The sequence below is a fragment of the Homo sapiens genome, chromosome 9, assembly GCF_000001405.40.
Source record: "Homo sapiens chromosome 9, GRCh38.p14 Primary Assembly".
Taxonomy (NCBI): Eukaryota; Metazoa; Chordata; class Mammalia; order Primates; family Hominidae; genus Homo; species Homo sapiens.
In genome coordinates this window covers 86,026,001-86,044,487 of record NC_000009.12, presented here as the reverse complement: position 1 = coordinate 86,044,487, position 18,487 = coordinate 86,026,001, and the positions used below count along the sequence as shown (strand labels likewise).

The 18,487-nt window shown below is 46.1% G+C and overlaps 1 protein-coding gene across 2 annotated transcripts in view, besides 1 other annotated feature; it reads left to right on the top strand.

The window, feature by feature from the left end:
* The window catches only part of GOLM1 (golgi membrane protein 1), a 74,004-nt gene extending 55,662 nt beyond the window's left edge, over positions 1-18,342 (top strand). For both annotated transcript variants that reach the window (NM_177937.3, NM_016548.4), the window contains exons 6-10: positions 3,620-3,749; positions 7,981-8,140; positions 8,863-9,120; positions 11,093-11,206; positions 16,595-18,342. In NM_177937.3, the coding sequence (NP_808800.1) occupies positions 3,620-3,749; positions 7,981-8,140; positions 8,863-9,120; positions 11,093-11,206; positions 16,595-16,671 (739 nt within the window). In that variant the 3' untranslated portion in view covers positions 16,672-18,342. The remainder of the gene's footprint in view (positions 1-3,619; positions 3,750-7,980; positions 8,141-8,862; positions 9,121-11,092; positions 11,207-16,594) is intronic.
* Positions 7,643-8,578: an enhancer, noted in NCBI's record as "H3K27ac-H3K4me1 hESC enhancer chr9:88650825-88651760 (GRCh37/hg19 assembly coordinates)". NCBI's record gives its function as "activates a minimal SCP1, AML or CMV promoter by ChIP-STARR-seq in primed H9 embryonic stem cells {active_cell/tissue: H9 hESC(primed)}" and the evidence as "EXISTENCE:reporter gene assay evidence [ECO:0000049][PMID:30033119]".
* Positions 18,343-18,487: the final 145 nt, after the last annotated feature.

Sequence of the window (18,487 nt, the reverse complement as noted above, 5' to 3'; positions counted from 1 at the left end):
GAGCCATCTGTGTGGTCACCAGCAACCTGGGAGAATCAGTTGCCTCACGTGCATTGCGTTCTTCGGCATTTCCATGTTCCTCCAAAACATTGTCCACCTGCCGTAATATCTTCCTACTAACTTTATAACCACATACAACTGAAAACATGAAGCCCCAAGTACACGTCTCTGTAGAGGACATGAGCAGCCAGTCAATAGAAGGGAAATGTGATTGTCACTTGTGTGTGGAATCTTATTCAGCTATGCCAGTGGTTCTCACGTGGGGGCAGTCTTGTCCCCAGTAGGCCTTTGGCAATGTTTGGAGACATTTTTGTCTGTCATGGCTTACAAGGAGGCTGCTACTGGCATCTAGTGGGTAGAGGTCAGGGACACTGCTAAACATCCTATAATCCACAAGACAGCTTCCCACAGTCACGTTTTATCTGGCCTAAAACATATACAGTGCTAAGGTTGAGAAACCTTGAGTTAGGCTCATAATTAAAGAATTGCATTTAGACAGAAATGAAGTACCTCAGTCTTATTATTCATCCTTAAAGAAACCTTAATGCAAATATTTCCCTCATATAGATTGAAACACAAAAAGCCATAAATGGCCTCACTTGATAAATGTTGGCCGAGAAGGTTTTGACCTAGCTGGCAATCAGTCAGGATCCAGTGACAGGGAAGGAATCTCTGCTCCCCATGTAGGAAAGCTTGGGCCGAGGCGATGGGTGGACACCTCTGAGCTGGGCTGGAGACACATGTAGGATGCACTCCTTTTGCTCCTGGCAGGTTGATACCTAGATTGAAAGCTCTTTCTGGCTGACTGTGCCTATTTCACTACTTGTGCCCAAGGCCGTGTACCAGATATGCAGTGCTTCCCAGGGATAATGTTCGTGGAGTGTTGGAAGCAAAAAAAAGCTAGTTATTCTTCACTTTCTTTGGATTATAGGCCCTTTTAGAGAATCTGATAAAAAGTACGAACACTTTGTTAGCAAACTTATAAATGGACACCTGCCTAAAGTGTGCAATTTGTGCAAATTATATGGGCCTCTGAAACATATCTGCACGCCCTCCCTTAAAACATCCTGTCTGGTCTAATCCTTCTATAGAAGGCAGTGCCGAGAACACAAAAGCTGATGGAGAGGCCAGGTTTCCTGATGTACAAGGTAGTGTTCTTTCCGTTTGAATCAGTCAGCACACATCCCACTTTTTACTCTCCTACACCTGTGGCAGGCATCACTAAGCAATCACTGCACTCCATCCGAAAATAGCCTTGCGTTCTTTCTCCCTGAAGCACCTGGAGTCAGCACATGAGATGAACCGCTCGCCATCTCATCTCCCTGCTATGAGGAGACAGTTTCCAATGTTGACACTGGCATATAAAGTAATACAGTGATGGTCGGTGCCCTGGGTGATGGGATCACCTGCCCTGATAGATCCTTGTACTTGAACACATTCCATCAGTGGTACTCTGGCCATCAATTGCACCAGTTAGAATAATCACTAGTGGCCAAGTCCTGTATTCCTCTCCAATTTAGCTCCAGTTAGTGCTGGAATATTTGCCACTTACATGTAAGAAAAAGCCAACCTAAGTCCTCAGGAAGAAACACTGTCACAATCTGCATGACCTTTGTCTCAGAATTGAGGATGGAGGTAGTTTGTTCCTGGCTCTCAAGTTGGAACATGGAAAGCCCCAGTTGATCTGCAAGGCTGTGAGATAAAGGCTCTTCGTACTTGATTTTAGCAGGGCTGGGAGCAGGTGCAATCAGTACTTCCCTTTTGCAGGTTTAAAGGTTCAGGGATAGCAAACGACCTGCTCATTTAGTTCTACAGTATACAGACAGCTTTTTGTTCGCTATGTTTCAGCTCCTGTGCACTAATCTACCACCTGTGGCTTGTATATTTGTGAGAATTGTATTTAAATGAAATTTTCACCTGATCTGTCAGCTGTTCAAGGTCAGGAACTCGGCACTGCATTATTTCCATAGCACCTGGTTCCCTTCTCTGTGTGTGGTACATTGTGACCCAGTGGTGCTTTGAACTCAAGGGTATATTCCAAGAGTCAGAGGTTGATGTAGTACTCACTCACATTTGGCTCTGAAATGCCTGCAACTCAGAAAAGGTGAGCTGTGTGGTGGAGAGGGCACAACAGTAAGGAGCCCTGGAGTCTGGCTTCAGTTTCCACCTCCCTCTGACCCTGGTCCATGCCAGACAACCATGTCACCCCTTAGTATTCTTATTTGCAAAACGAGTGGGTAATTCTCTTAATTACTTCATAGCTCTGGCACTTGTCAAAATACTCTTAAAATAAATCCAGGCAGCAAGCTGAAGCAATGCAATAGCAATTCAACCGAGTGTCCTCCAGTTCAAGTTTTGTTTTGTTTTTTTTGAGACGGAGTCTCGCTCTGTCGCCCAGGCTGGAGTGCAGTGGCGCGATCTCGGCTCACTGCAAGCTCCGCCTCCCGGGTTCACGCCATTCTCCTGCCTCAGCCTCCCGAGTAGCTGGGACTACAGGAGCCCGCCACCATGCCCAGCCAATTTTTTGTGTTTTTAATAGAGACAGGGTTTCACCGTGTTAGCCAGGATGCTCTCCATCTCCTGACCTCGTGATCCACCGCCTCAGCCTCCCAAAGTGCTGGGATTACAGGCGTGAGCCACTGCGCCTGGCCCCAGTTCAAGTTTTGATACTACCCACTTAGCACAGACCCCCTAGGTTAAGGGGCTCCCTCCCATACTACTGCTCCCACCTCAGATGCCAGCCACAAGTCTTGATGTGTCCCCTAGCCACCCTCACTTCTGCCTGGCTGGCTACAGCTTTAGGGTTACCCGCCACCCCCTCAGTTTGATAATTTGCCAGGATGACTGTCACATGATTCAGGAAAGCTGTTTTGACTTTTACAGAACAGCCCAGTGGTAGAGTCCTAAGGTGAGGGCAGGCGCCGGGGGGAGACAGGAACGGCTGCCCTGTGGAGTCAGCCGCCCCCATCCAGTGCATCGTTAGGCTCCCCAGCCAGAAAGCTCCCCAAGCCTTCTGGTCCGGAGTTTGTCTGAGTGTTTTATGTAGGCATGATTGATTACACCATCGGCCACAGGGTTGAACTCAATCTCCACTCCTCCCTTCCCTGGAGGAGGTGGAGCTGAAAGTTCCAACTTTCCAGTCATGTGGCTAGTTCCTCTGGCAGTCAGCCTCTGTCCTGAAACTATCTGACGCCCATCCTTCCCCACCTCCAAGACCCCCTTATTAGTATAAACTCAAGTATGGTCCAGAGGGGCTTGTGAATCGCCAGATATCCACTCAGGAACTTCCAAGGCTTTTAAGAGCTCTGTGCCAGTAGCCAGGGACAAAGACCAATACATATTTTTTTTATTATTCTACAGATTGTATGTTAAAAAAAAATTTTCTGCCTAATCAGTAAAGTTCACTGTTTTAGAACAATGGGATGATGATTTTTAGTGTGTTTCTTTTGGTCATTTAATTGTTGAACACACACCCGTGTTGCCCTGTCTTAAGTGCCCTCTTCAGATGAAGTGCCTGAAGCAGGAAGAGGGTCTGTGTCTCTTATGGAAGTGGATGTCACCGTCCAGCAGAGACACAGTCATAGACGTCAGGCCCTTCCTTTGCTTTCTTTCACCAAAGGAGCCAGTGCATCAATCAGATGAAGGAGGTGAAGGAACAGTGTGAGGAGCGAATAGAAGAGGTCACCAAAAAGGGGAATGAAGCTGTAGCTTCCAGAGACCTGAGTGAAAACAACGACCAGAGACAGCAGGTAACTGGGGAATTTTTGCCAAGAGTTTCTAGAAGGTACCCCTATCTTCAGGCATTTTGTTTCTTTTATGTGCCGCCTGGCTTTCTCTGGATTCTGCCCTCCTTTGCGGGCTTGGCTCCCTGAGATATAACAGAGCAGAACCTGGTACTGGGATGACTGGACCCTAACCAAGGGTTCTGACCTCCAGCCCCGCTTCACAAGCTCAGGGCTTTACGGGAATTATCGTATTTAAAGCTCGCAGCCAGCCTGGGAGAGAGTTGCTGTTTTCCTGACTTGAGGACCCCAGCCCCATGGGAGGGGTTAAGTTCTGTGGCCAGTGTCACACCACCTGGTCAGTGGTAGAGCCCATCAAGACCTCAGGTCTGGCCGACTCCATGTCTCGTGCTGTCATTCCACCTCCTGTGCAGAGCACAGCCCACGAAGCTGCTGCTTGAAGCCTTCTGGGTGATCTTTGAGTAGTTTTTTAAAAATATAGCAGCTTTATTAAGATATAATTTGCATTCCCTATGATTCACCCATAGAAAATTTACAATTCATGGGTTCTGAGTATATTCACAAAGTTATGCAGCCATCACCACAGTCAATTTCAGAACATTTTTATTGGCACAAAAGAAACCGTGTATCCCTTAGTTCTCTCTTCAGTCCCCACAGCCCTAGACAGCCAACTGCTAATGTACTTTGTGTCTCTTGATTTGCCTAATCTGGACAATTTCCTGTCAATAGAATCATATATGTGTGGCCTTTTGTGTCTGACTTTTTTTTTTTTTTTTTGAGAGGGCATCTCGCTCTCTCACCCAGGCCAGAGTGCAGTGGCGCGATCTCAGCTCACTGCAGCCTCTGCCTCCCAGGTTCAAGCGATTCTCCTGCCTCAGCCTCCCGAGTAGCTGGGATTACAGGCACCCACCACCACACCTGGCTAATTTTTGTATTTTTAGTAGAGACGGGGTTTCATCATGTTGGCCAGGCTGGTCTTGAACGGCTGACCTCAAGTGATCCACCCACCTCGGCCTCCCAAAGTGCTGGGATTACAGGCGTGAGCCACCACGCCCGGACTGTCTGGTATCTTTGACTGAGTATGAATACCTCAGGGCTCATCGGGGTTGCAGCATGTGTCTGTACTGCATTCCCTTTAATGGCTGATTAATCCATCCTGTGGATAGACCACATGTGGATTATTCATCATCAGTTGATGGGCATTTGGAGTGTTTCCATGTTTTGGCTATTATGAATAATGCCGTATGAACATGAAGCTTTTGTGTGGTCATATGTTTTCATTTCTCTTGGTTAATACCTAGGAGTGGAACTGCTGGGTTATATGGTAATCTATATTTAACCTATTGAGGAACTCCCAGACTTCTTCCAAAGTGGCCATACCATTTTCGACTGCCACCAGTAGTTTATGAGGGCTCCAGTTTCTTCACATCCTTGCCAACTCTTGATACTACCTTTTTCATGATACCCTTCCTAGCAGGTGTGGAGTGGCAGCTCGTTGTTTGGGTTTGCATTTCCCTAATAACTGTGATATCCCTGATGATATTCAGCATCTTTTCACATGTTTCATTGGCCATTTGTATATCTTCTTTGAAGAAATGTCTATTTGGGTCCTTTGCTCATTTTTTAATTGAGTTATTTTTATTATTGAATTGTAAGAGTTTTTAAAATCTATTTTATTAAAGATATATGATAATGGATATATGATTTGCAAGTTTTTTTTCCCAATTCTGTGGGGTTTTTCACTTTCTTGCTGGTGTTTAGTTGAAGCACAGAAGTTCTTAATTTTGACAAAATCCCCATTTTATTTATTTTTTCTTTTGTTGTGTGTTCTTGGTATTATATCTAGTAACACTTTGCCTGACCCAAGATCTTGAAGATTTACTGTTACATTTTCTTCTCAGAGTTTTATCGTTCTTAGTTCTTACGTTTAAGCCTGTGATTCATTTTCAGTTAATTTAATTATTGCATATGGTGTGAGGTAGAGCTCCCACTTCATTCTTGTGTGTGTGCGGTTATCAAGTTGTCTCAGTAATCACTTGTTGAAAGAAAGACTGCTTTTCCCCCACTGAATTGTCTTGGCACCTTTGTCAGAAATCAGTGTGCTGTAAGTATGAGGGTTTTTAGTGAGCCTGAGTGTTTTAGTGAGCCTGAGTCCCTTGGCTGTGAATGTCCCCTATGCTTCTCTTCAGTACCCACTCCCTACCCCAGTGGGACAAAGTGGCTGGAATGGGCTGGAGTTGAGTAGCTTCCTTCTCCCACGTGGAAGTCTAGAGCTTACTGGAGTTGGGTGTTTCATTCCCCCAGGTCAGTTAGGCTCAGATAATATGCCCGCAGGAGCTCTGGGTAATGCGCTCCTCGTGAGGGCCGGCCTGGTTAAGGAGAATAGAGCACTCTGGCCTGTTTCAGAATGGTTCCTTTCCCCGCCACACTGCTGGAAGCACAAGCCGATTTTTCTCTGATGTTCACTGAGAGCCTTTCTCTAATATTCACTGAGAGCCTGGTTGAGCTCCTAGGGGTAAAACTCATAAGTATGGGAGTCCCTTATGACTGGGGCAGGTTTTTTCTTTTTCTTTTTTTTTTTTTTCTTTTGGTGTTGGAGTTTTGCTTTTATCGCCCAGGCTGGAGTGCAATGGCGCAATCTTGGCTCACCACAACCTCTGCCTCCCGGGTTGAAGCAATTCTCCTGCCTCAGCCTCCCGAGTAGCTGGGATTACAGGCATGCGCTACCACACCTGGCTAATTTTGTATTTTTTAGTATATCGGGGTTTCTCCATGTTGGTCAAGCTGGTCTTGAACTCCCGACCTCAGGTGATCAGCCCGTCTCAGCCTCCCAAAGTACTGGCATTACAGGCATTAGCCACCACGCCTGGCTGGGGCAGGTTTTTAACTCTCAGACTCATCCACACTGAGCCTCAAACAGTTCATAAATGACAGGGTCAGGCTCTCCCACCCTGACACCAGTTCCCGTGGTGATGTCTGCCCAAGCCTGTCCTGGTGAGCCGGGACTCTCTGTATTGGGCTGTCTGTCTCCAGGCTTAAGGACAGTGATTTACACTCTGTCCTCACCTCTCCTATGGATCCAAGAAGAGCTGATAACTTTTCAGTCTGTTTAGTTTTTTACTTGTTAGGACTAAGTGGTGACTTTTAAGCTTCTCACGTGAGGAACAGAAAACTGGAAGTCTTCTAATACAGATGCTTGAAGGTGTACATTTCTTCTAAGCACTGCTGGAGCTGCTTCCCATAAGTTTTGGTATGCTGTGTTTTTGTTTTGTGGCAAAGCATTTTCTTTTTTTTTTTTTTTTTTTTGAGAGACAGTCTCGCTCTGTCGCCCCAGGCTGGAATGCAATGGCATGATCTTGGCTCACTGCAACCTCCACCTCCCAGGTTCAAGCGATTTTCCTGCCTCAGCTGGAAATCACCTCCTTGCCTCACCTCCCAAGTAGCTGGAATCACAGGTGCCTGCCACCACACCTGGCTAATTTTTGTATTTTTAGTAGAGATGGGGTTTCACCATGTTGGCAAGGCTGGTCTCAAACTTCTGACCTCTGGTGATCTGCCTGCCTCGGCCTCCCAAAGTGCTGGGATTACAGGTGTGCGCCACCGCGCCTGGCTGTCCAAGCATTTTCTAATTTGTGTTGTGGTTTATTGTTGGACTCACTGGTTATTTAGGAGTGTGTTGTTTAATTTCCAAATATTTGCAAATGTCATAAGTTTCATCCTGTTATTGATTTATAATCCATTCCATTTCTATTAATTTACTTTGTGTGATTTTAGTTAAATATTTAAGTGTATGGAGGCTTGCTTTGTGGCCTGCCATTTGTCCATCCTGGAAAATATTGTGTGTGTGCCTGAGAAGCAGGTGTGTTTGCCCTTGCTAGGCTGAGGGTTCTGCAGATGTTTGTTTCGTCAAGGAGTATTGTGTCGTTCATGTCTTTTTTGTTGTTGATCTTCCGCCTAGGTATTTTATTATTCCGTAAATGCTTCCTCTCAGCAGAATCACTGCCCAGTTTTATTCTGTATTGACAGTACTTTCTGGGAGACCTTGACTCAACCTCTTGTCTTCTGATTTACGCCACATGACCAGGGCGTGACCAGAGTAGACTGTGGCGTTTCTCGGGGTCTTGGTTGGAAGGATATGGTGGTGGGATTGGTGGGATTCATTGCATTGGTAGGATTCTTTTACGGCTTCTGTTCACAGAGCCCTGCCCTGGCTGGCTGTCCTGTGCTTCTGTTTCAGCTCCAAGCCCTCAGTGAGCCTCAGCCCAGGCTGCAGGCAGCAGGCCTGCCACACACAGAGGTGCCACAAGGGAAGGGAAACGTGCTTGGTAACAGCAAGTCCCAGACACCAGCCCCCAGTTCCGAAGTGGTTTTGGATTCAAAGAGACAAGTTGAGAAAGGTAAGCAGAGCCCAGCAGTTGCCCTGTTCCCAGCTCTCCAGAGCCCCATCAGAGGAAGCAGTCCCAGCGAGCTGCTGAGGCAGTCAGTGAACCCGGCAGCGGCGCAGCCAGGAGCAGGGACGTGTCTCTCTGGGCCCCTGGAATTGGGGCTTTGGGGCTTCTCTGACAGATGTCTCCTCCTTGTAAACGAAGTGCCTTGTTCCTGGGCAGCTGTGTAGAGAAAGGCCCAGGCTGCACCTTTATGCAGGACATTGGTGGGCTTGTGGGACTCGGGGGAGGCGGCTGAGCCCCAGACACTGGGAACCAGGAGGCTGCTGTGTCTGTGAGCAAGCCCTGGGTGGGCCTGCCTGCCCTGGCTCCCAAGTGCTTGCTCCAGCGGACCCGATGATCAGGTCACTCAGCAGGATACCCTTTTCCCTTTGTACCTTGTCAAGGTAATTTAGTCCAGGTGTTTTTTTTTTTTTGTTTTGTTTTTTTTTTTGGTAAGCTACTTTTCCCTTTGTCGCGGTTCTGACGATGAGCTGCAGGCACAGAAAGGCCTGCAGTCTGTGGCTGAGGTCACAAAAGGAGCTACCTGGTTGTTCTCCTGTGTGCAGCCCACCCCACCCCCACTCCTTGGGAAGGCTCTGGGAATTGAGTGGCACCAGGTTTTGCTTTTTTTTTTTTTTTTTTTTTTAAATCAAATGCTGGCAAGGTCACAGCTAACTGTGTTCTGTGCACAGAGGAAACCAATGAGATCCAGGTGGTGAATGAGGAGCCTCAGAGGGACAGGCTGCCGCAGGAGCCAGGCCGGGAGCAGGTGGTGGAAGACAGACCTGTAGGTGGAAGAGGCTTCGGGGGAGCCGGAGAACTGGGCCAGACCCCACAGGTGCAGGCTGCCCTGTCAGTGAGCCAGGAAAATCCAGAGATGGAGGGCCCTGAGCGAGACCAGCTTGTCATCCCCGACGGACAGGAGGAGGAGCAGGAAGCTGCCGGGGAAGGTGGGTGTGAAGTTTCGGGGGCCGCTGTGGACTCCCTTCCACCAGACACCCAGCCCACCTCCATGTCCTTCCCAGCACCAACATATCACCCTGAATTTTACCAAACAGCAGTCCACAATTTGCCAATTCCTTTTCGTTTGAAGGTTTCTTATTCGTTATCAAGAGGGAGGCAGGAAGGAAGAGCAGCATATGCTCTAGAACTCGAGGTTTTAGATGCAATATTGGCAGGGAGTCGAGGGGACCTTGCAAGTGGATGGCCTGCAGATGGGTGCTTAGCATCAAGTGGACGCCCCCTCCTGGCAGGCAGGCCACATGCCCCATTTTTGTATGTCCACCGTCGTGCAGTGTCTGGTGCCATTTAGACAATCAGTGCCTAGTGAATGAATGAAGGAAGGAAGGAAGGAATATTGGGTAGATGAAGGTTAATGCATATGTGAACATTGAGAAAAAATGACATGTGAATCACTCCTTTTTGGTTTGGTTGACTCTTTTCTTTTTAAAGAAATAAAGGGTAGGAATTGGAGATCAACCGACTATTCCAGGATGTATTTCAGTCCCTTCAGATATGGAAAATGTCCTTCCCACCTGAGCCAGGAACACTTCTGAGGACATGACACCTGCGCTCTGGGGTGGACCAAGTCACAGAAGTTGGAGAATACACTTATTTGCAGAAGTTACCTTGATTCCATTTAAATCTAATTTTCACTTCAGTGTCTTACTGAAGAACGTGTCCTTCCAAGTTCCAGTTAAAGAATTGGATTTTGTCAGCCTCCCCCTAAGTATCCCTGCTCTGTCCTTGTGTTCCGTGCTCACCCAGCAAGAAGATGCTTGTGGTGTGTGAGGCGGGGAGATCTCACTGGCTCGCTCAGCCTGTGGCGCTCCAGTGTCAGACCCCTCAGCGGCTGGTCACAAAGCGTAACAAAGGTGGGCCTGAGATGCCACAGTGCCTGCAGGATGCACCTGCTTCTAGATGCAGGTGTGGTGACCTCATTTGAAGAAACGCGGTGGACACATAGGCCTGTGCAGTTTCCACCCCAGGCAGTGAGCCAGAGAAAGAGACTAGAGCTGCTTTTCCAGGTGTGCACTTTTAAAAAAGATTTTGTTTGGCCGGGCGCAGTGGCTCATGCCTGTAATCCCAGCACTTTGAGAGGCCGAGGTGGGCGGATCATGAGGTCAGGAGTTCAAGACCATCCTGGCCAATATGGTGAAACCCCATCTCTTCTAAAAATACAAAAATTAGCTGGGCATGGCAGCACGTGCCTGTAATCCCAGCCACTCGGGAGGCTGAGGCAGGAGAATCGCTTGAACCCCGGAGGCGGAGGTTGCAGTGAGCCGAGATTACGCCACCGCACTCCAGCCTGGGCGACAGAGTGAGACTCCATCTCAAAAAAAAAAAAAAAAAGATTTTGTTTACCAGCCTGCATACACATATAAAATATGTAAGTTAAACCCTTTGAGTAGGTCTCTTGAAAGCCTTTTGTCCTCATCTTCTCTGGCTGCTGCCCACTCCAGGGAAGAATAGAGTAATGGGTGCTCTCATGCTCTAAGTATGAGGGACACCTTCTCACGTGTCTCACAGTGGCAGCTCCATTTCCTCTCTCCATTCTAAGGAGATGCTGTCATTAGCTGTAGATATCCGTTCCTTCCTAAAACAGTGGCACCTTTCTTTTATCTTGAGTTGATTATCTCTTTAAAAAATTGAGATTTGGGTTGTTAGTTTCTCCATGTTCTGCCTAGAATGCACCCTTGTATTTAGGGCCATGCTGTCTGTAGATTCCGAGTCCAAGTGGAGTACACATAATGCATGTGCTTGTCCTGGAAGCCAGCCCTTGCGTCCCTACCATTTCCAGAGAGGCAGCAGACAGATCTGATTGTGAGCAAGTATGGCTAACCCCCAGCACTTGTGCTCTGATAGTCCTGTGACATCAAGACAGAAATGATGTAGCTTATGTTTTATGTGCTAATTTTACAGGGAGAAACCAGCAGAAACTGAGAGGAGAAGATGACTACAACATGGATGAAAATGAAGCAGAATCTGAGACAGACAAGCAAGCAGCCCTGGCAGGGAATGACAGAAACATAGATGGTAAGAATGGGGCCTACATCGGTGACGAGGTCACCTTTCATTTCTCTTTCCTGGTCCTTCACCGTGATTATCCAATGAATCCCCAAAATTATATTGTAATTAATGGGTCATTTCAAGGAGATCGTCTGTTCTTTAGGAGCTTTTAAACCAGGGGCAGTGGAGGGAAGTGAGGGTTGAGAAGCCCAAGGTGATGAAAACCATTCGGAAAGTCTGCATCGTTTCTAGAAACATATTCAGTGTGGCTCAACTCTTTAAGTAGGATGATTTTTCAGTGACATTTAGGGATTTCCCAACAAAATGGCTAGGTCACTACTTGATCAGTCTGCCTCCCAGATGAGAAGCCCCAGTATGTGCATAGAGCTTCCAAGCAGCTATGAAAGCTGCCCTTTGTATTATTATTTTGAATTTTTGAAGAGTCCAGGCCAGTATCTTGTAGAATGTATCAAACTCTGGCCTTGTCTGTTTGCTTGTGGTGGATTCAGGCTGATGAATTCTTGCTTCTCCCCAGGAGGCATAACAGCAGGTGGTCCTACAGGTGATTGGTTGATCCCTTAGCTAACATGGTGCCCACAAGGTCTCAGAAGGCCATTTTCCTTTTGATATTAATACGTCATCTAGAAGAGGATGCTTTGAACTTGTGTAGCTTTACCATCCATTGATGAACATTGCCCAAGTGGTGACATTTTACATGCTGCCATCACAGCACATTTATTACCTGACATTTTTTAAGGAACTCCTCTCCCTCCTCCAACACACTTGTTTGTTTTGGTATCACTATGGACTCATAGTATTCTTTCTTAAAATTCATTTTTCTGGGCCAAGTGTGGTGGCTCACACCTGTAATCCCAGCGCTTTGGGAGACCAAGGCAGGCAGATCAGCGGGTCAAGAGATTGAGACCATCCTGGCTAACACGGTGAAACCCCGTCTCTACTAAAAAGAGAAAAAATTAGCCAGGCGTGGTGGTGGGCGCCTGTAGTCCCAGCTACTCGGGAGGCTGAGGCAAGAGAATCGCTTGAACCCGGGAGGCAGAGGTTGCAGTGAGCTGAGATCGCACCGCTGCACTCCAGCCTGGGCAACAAGAGTGAAAATCCATCTCAACAACAACAACAAAAGAATCCAAGCCATGTGACTGTAGTTTCCCACAGCCTGAATACTGCTGATTATAGAGTCATGGGGGAGTTGAGTGAGTTCGCCTGGTCTCTGTTTTCTGTAGAGTGGCAGCTATACCCAGAGACTTGATGAGACTCAGGTCCTGGCTCAAGCCCTCGGTAAGGTGAGTGGTGGTGTGTTCTTTGGTTCTTTCATCGGGAGGCACGTCATGTCTGGCGTCTTTTTTTTTTTTTTTTTTTTTTTTTGAGATGGAGTCTCGCTCTGTCACCCTTGCTGAAGTGCAGTGGCGCGATCTTGGCTGACTGCAACCTGGCGTCTTTCTTTTTGTGATGCCAGTTGATGGTCAATGCCTGTATCAATTCATTTTTATGTTATTTGTTAATTGGAATGTTCTTAGAAATAGACACTTCAGCTGGGCGTGGTGGCTAACACCTGTAACCCAGCACTTTGGGAGGCCGAGGATGGTGGATCACCTGAGGTCAGGAGTTTGAGACCAGCCTAACTAACATGGTGAAACCCCGTCTCTACTAAATACAAGAAAATTAGCCAGGCGTGGTGGCACATGCCTGTAATCCCAGCTACTTGGGAGGCTGAGACAGGAGAATCGCGTGAACTCGGGAGGCAGAGGTTGCAGTGAGCCGAGATTGTGACATTGCACTCCAGCCTGGGCAAGAAGAGTGAAACTCCGTCTCGGGGAAAAAAAAAAAAAAAAAAAAAAAAACCTCAGTGGTATTGTTTGTATAAGGTAGATAGGATAAATGCTTGATTTCTTTCCTTTTTAACAGTTTTCATGACTATGAATTACTTCCCCATCTTCTCTGAGGGTAACTGCTTTTAAAATATCATCATAAACTTCAGAATTCAGCAGAAATCCTCAGGGCAGCAGGAGTCGTTGTAACAACTACTTCACTTCAGTTTCGGCCTTGCTGATCCTGCCGATGCCCTTTTTTTTTTTCTTCCTCAGATGGAGTCTCACTCTGTTGCCCAGGCTGGAGTGCAGTAGTGCGATCTCGGCTCACTGCAACCTCTGCCTCCCGGGTTCAAGCGATTCTCCTGCTTCAGCCTCCCGAGCAGCTGAGATTAGAGGCGCACGCCACCACGTCCAGCTAATATTTGTATTTTTATTAGAGACGGGGTTTCACCATATTGGCCAGGATGGTCTCCATCTCCTGACCTCATGATCCGCCTGCCTTGGCCTCCCAAAGTGCTGGGTGGCGTAAGCCACCACGTCTGGCTAACAATACCTTCTTTTATTACCATCTGGGCAATGCATTATTCATTTAATGTTTTAATACTTACATTTTTTTTACCTTTTCATTTTGAAATAATCTAGACTTCTTTAAAAAGCAAAAAATTTCTGTATACCCTTCACCCAGGTTCCCCAAATGTTAACATCTTATATAACCACAGTAAAATTACCAAAATAAGGAAATTAATGTTTATACAATGCTATTATCTAATCTGTAGACTTTGTTGAAATTTAGTGAGTGTCCAATTCATGTCTTTTTTTCTGGGTTCAGGATTATACACTGCATTTATTGTCAGACCTCTTTAGTGTTCTTTATCGTGGAGCAGTTTATCATTTATGTTGTTGGTCTTTTTTGAAGGGTAGTGGCTCAGTTATTTGGTTGAAAGTCCCTCAATCTGTGCTTGTCTGATTTTTCAACAATGTCCCCCTAAAAATTATCTTTTATATTTCTCCAGGATGTCAGTTGTTTCAATTGGCAGAGTTGTTTGGAATTTTTAGAATCCAAGTCCTAATTTGAATTTTCAGCTGTCTTCATTTAGGCAATTTTTTAAAAAGGCAAATGGCAAAATACACTAGCAGCCAGACTTTGAAGCAAATACAAACTCTCTGTTGTCATTGACTCCACTCATTTATGTTCTTGAGCATGTTTCACGGTCTGGTCACTGTCTTACTTCTATTCTTTTTTTTTTTTTTTTTTTTTTTTGAGACAGAGTCTCACTCTTCTTGCCCAGGCTGGAGTGCAATGGCACAATCCTGGCTCACAGCAGTCTCCGCCTCCTGGGTTTAAGTGATTCTCCTGCCTCAGCCTCCTGAGTAGCTGGGAGCTGGGATTACAGGCTCATGCCACCATGCCCAGCTAATTTTGTATTTTCAGTACAGACAGAGTTTCACCATGTCCACTAGGCTGGTCTCGAAATCCTGACCTCAGGTGATCTGCCTGCCTCAGCCTCCCAAAGTGTTGGGATTACAGGTGTGAGCCACCACCCCGGCTCTAACCACCTTTTAAATTGGGCCTAGTTTCCTACTAAATGATGGGCTTTGCGGTGAAGCCTTTTTGGATCTCTCATTCCCTACACTCAGGTGTCCTAAGGACTTGACCTTGTGCAAGGTTTTAAACAAAGTAAGTAGGTAAGGTAAAGAAAATGAGTGCCTTGTCAGCTCTTTGAAGAAGCTGAAGAAATGTCAACATCAGCTTCAACATTATTTTAAGATTGTGTCATTGAAACAGTGAGACCTTACTTGCTCCAGGGAAATTAGAAGAAAAAAGCATTAGCTCCAACTTTATTAAGAGCCTTTAACAGATACCGTTAATTTAATATGGCAGGTATTTAATGGTCATTAAACTACCATTTAATGTGCCATAGTTATAAATCAAGACCGTGGTTTTAGGTTTTATTTGTGATGTGCCTTTTTATGTTTTCTGTGTGTTAAAAGGATAGAGTAAGATCAGATGGTAGAAGCTACATACAGACATCAGCTCTGTAAAGGGAGAGCTTTGGAGTCACAAGAGCTGTCTGAAGCTGCAGACAGCTCTCAGGAGGCAGCGTGTGCCATTAGAAGTGCAGTAGCAAGGGAGTCACGCCGCACAGGAGCGTGGTGATTATATTTAAAATGTCATGAGTGCACTTGATACTGTCCATTTTCTATGGCATATGGGGCATTATGTCACTGTTACAAACAAGTATGGAATCTTTAGGTGCTTCAGCTTTGTTTCATGGCACATTGTTGGTCATCCATTTGGACACTTTGAAAGGGGAGGAGTTCCAGCTGGGCGTGGTTGCTCACGCTTGTAATCCCAGCACTTTGGGAGGCCAAGGCGGGCGGATCACGAGGTCAGGAGATCGAGATCATCCTGGCTAACAGGGTGAAAACCCGCCTCTACTAAAACTACAACAACAAAAAGAAATCAGCCGGGCGTGGTGGCGGGCGCCTGTAGTCCCAGCTACTCGGGAAGCTTAGGCGGGAGAATGGCGTGAACCCCGGAGGTGGAGCTTGCAGTGAGCTGAGATCGCACGACTGCACTCCAGCCTGGGTGATAGAGCCAGACTCCGTCTCAAAAAAAAAAAAAAAAAAAAAAAAGTTCCCTTATCCCCTTCACAGGGCATGCAATGGGGGTATGGCTTTCTTCTTCAGTGCCCCACAGCTCAAACCCCTAGGGGAAGCATGCGGACGGACAGGTTGTGGGGAGGATGGGTTTCAACCCCGCGGCAGCATCTAGGGTTGAGTGGTTACAGCTCCTGGAGCCCCACTGGGTGTGTGTTGCAGTGCGTTCTTTCAGCTTAGCTGTCCACAGGCAGCTTGTGTTAATCAGTTCAATTAGACCCTCTGCCTTATCGCAAGGACAGAGGGCTTTCTGTATCCCAGGTTCTTGCCCTAGTGTACTGAAAAAATCAGATCATGTGGGCTTGGAGAATGAATGCAAGATTTATTGAGTGGTGGAAGTAGCTCTCAGCAGATGGCTGGGGAGCCAGAAGGGGGATAGCATGGGAAGGTAGTCTTCCTCTGGAGTCTGGCTGCTCAGCAGCCGGGATCTCCTACTGTCCTTGGCCGAATTTCCCTTGGCGTCCGAATCGTTCCACCATCAATGGCCTGCCAGCGTCTTTCGATGTGTTCTTCTGCCAGTGTGTTCCTCTTGACGTCCAGCCGCTTGTGTGTGTGCCCGCTGGGGTCTCAGGGTTTTTATAGGCACAGAATGGGTGGCATGGCAGGCCAGAGTGGTCTTGGAAAATGCAACATTTGGGCAAGAAGACAGGAGTCCTTGTTCTCATTAGGTCCATGGGCACAAGCCTGAGGGTGGAGCCCTTGCCAGTGACCCTGCCCTTCTCTACCCAGCACTTCCCTGTCCCCCTCCCATATCACCGTTGCCATCTTGTCCTTGATGAGGAATACAACTCCCAATTACAGTGTTGCTGTGGGAGATGCAGTCCTCTTTATGACAGTTTCTAGAAGTTGATAAGAAAATGGGACCTGCCTAGGGCTAGTATCTCATTTAATACTCTATAGAATATTATGTGTTTTTCCTTTTTAGTTTTTAATGTTGAAGATCAGAAAAGAGACACCATAAATTTACTTGATCAGCGTGAAAAGCGGAATCATACACTCTGAATTGAACTGGAATCACATATTTCACAACAGGGCCGAAGAGATGACTATAAAATGTTCATGAGGGACTGAATACTGAAAACTGTGAAATGTACTAAATAAAATGTACATCTGAAGATGATTATTGTGAAATTTTAGTATGCACTTTGTGTAGGAAAAAATGGAATGGTCTTTTAAACAGCTTTTGGGGGGTACTTTGGAAGTGTCTAATAAGGTGTCACAATTTTTGGTAGTAGGTATTTCGTGAGAAGTTCAACACCAAAACTGGAACATAGTTCTCCTTCAAGTGTTGGCGACAGCGGGGCTTCCTGATTCTGGAATATAACTTTGTGTAAATTAACAGCCACCTATAGAAGAGTCCATCTGCTGTGAAGGAGAGACAGAGAACTCTGGGTTCCGTCGTCCTGTCCACGTGCTGTACCAAGTGCTGGTGCCAGCCTGTTACCTGTTCTCACTGAAAAGTCTGGCTAATGCTCTTGTGTAGTCACTTCTGATTCTGACAATCAATCAATCAATGGCCTAGAGCACTGACTGTTAACACAAACGTCACTAGCAAAGTAGCAACAGCTTTAAGTCTAAATACAAAGCTGTTCTGTGTGAGAATTTTTTAAAAGGCTACTTGTATAATAACCCTTGTCATTTTTAATGTACAAAACGCTATTAAGTGGCTTAGAATTTGAACATTTGTGGTCTTTATTTACTTTGCTTCGTGTGTGGGCAAAGCAACATCTTCCCTAAATATATATTACCAAGAAAAGCAAGAAGCAGATTAGGTTTTTGACAAAACAAACAGGCCAAAAGGGGGCTGACCTGGAGCAGAGCATGGTGAGAGGCAAGGCATGAGAGGGCAAGTTTGTTGTGGACAGATCTGTGCCTACTTTATTACTGGAGTAAAAGAAAACAAAGTTCATTGATGTCGAAGGATATATACAGTGTTAGAAATTAGGACTGTTTAGAAAAACAGGAATACAATGGTTGTTTTTATCATAGTGTACACATTTAGCTTGTGGTAAATGACTCACAAAACTGATTTTAAAATCAAGTTAATGTGAATTTTGAAAATTACTACTTAATCCTAATTCACAATAACAATGGCATTAAGGTTTGACTTGAGTTGGTTCTTAGTATTATTTATGGTAAATAGGCTCTTACCACTTGCAAATAACTGGCCACATCATTAATGACTGACTTCCCAGTAAGGCTCTCTAAGGGGTAAGTAGGAGGATCCACAGGATTTGAGATGCTAAGGCCCCAGAGATCGTTTGATCCAACCCTCTTATTTTCAGAGGGGAAAATGGGGCCTAGAAGTTACAGAGCATCTAGCTGGTGCGCTGGCACCCCTGGCCTCACACAGACTCCCGAGTAGCTGGGACTACAGGCACACAGTCACTGAAGCAGGCCCTGTTTGCAATTCACGTTGCCACCTCCAACTTAAACATTCTTCATATGTGATGTCCTTAGTCACTAAGGTTAAACTTTCCCACCCAGAAAAGGCAACTTAGATAAAATCTTAGAGTACTTTCATACTCTTCTAAGTCCTCTTCCAGCCTCACTTTGAGTCCTCCTTGGGGTTGATAGGAATTTTCTCTTGCTTTCTCAATAAAGTCTCTATTCATCTCATGTTTAATTTGTACGCATAGAATTGCTGAGAAATAAAATGTTCTGTTCAACTTATAAAACTTGTCACAGCTCTGTTTTTTTGCTTTTCCCCTTCATCCTCTATTAGATCCTTAAAGAATCCACCCTCAAACTGTGGACTAAGGATGGCAGTTTGCCTTAAACCTTCTGTGGAATGAGATGGGCTGTCAGGACGTCTTCA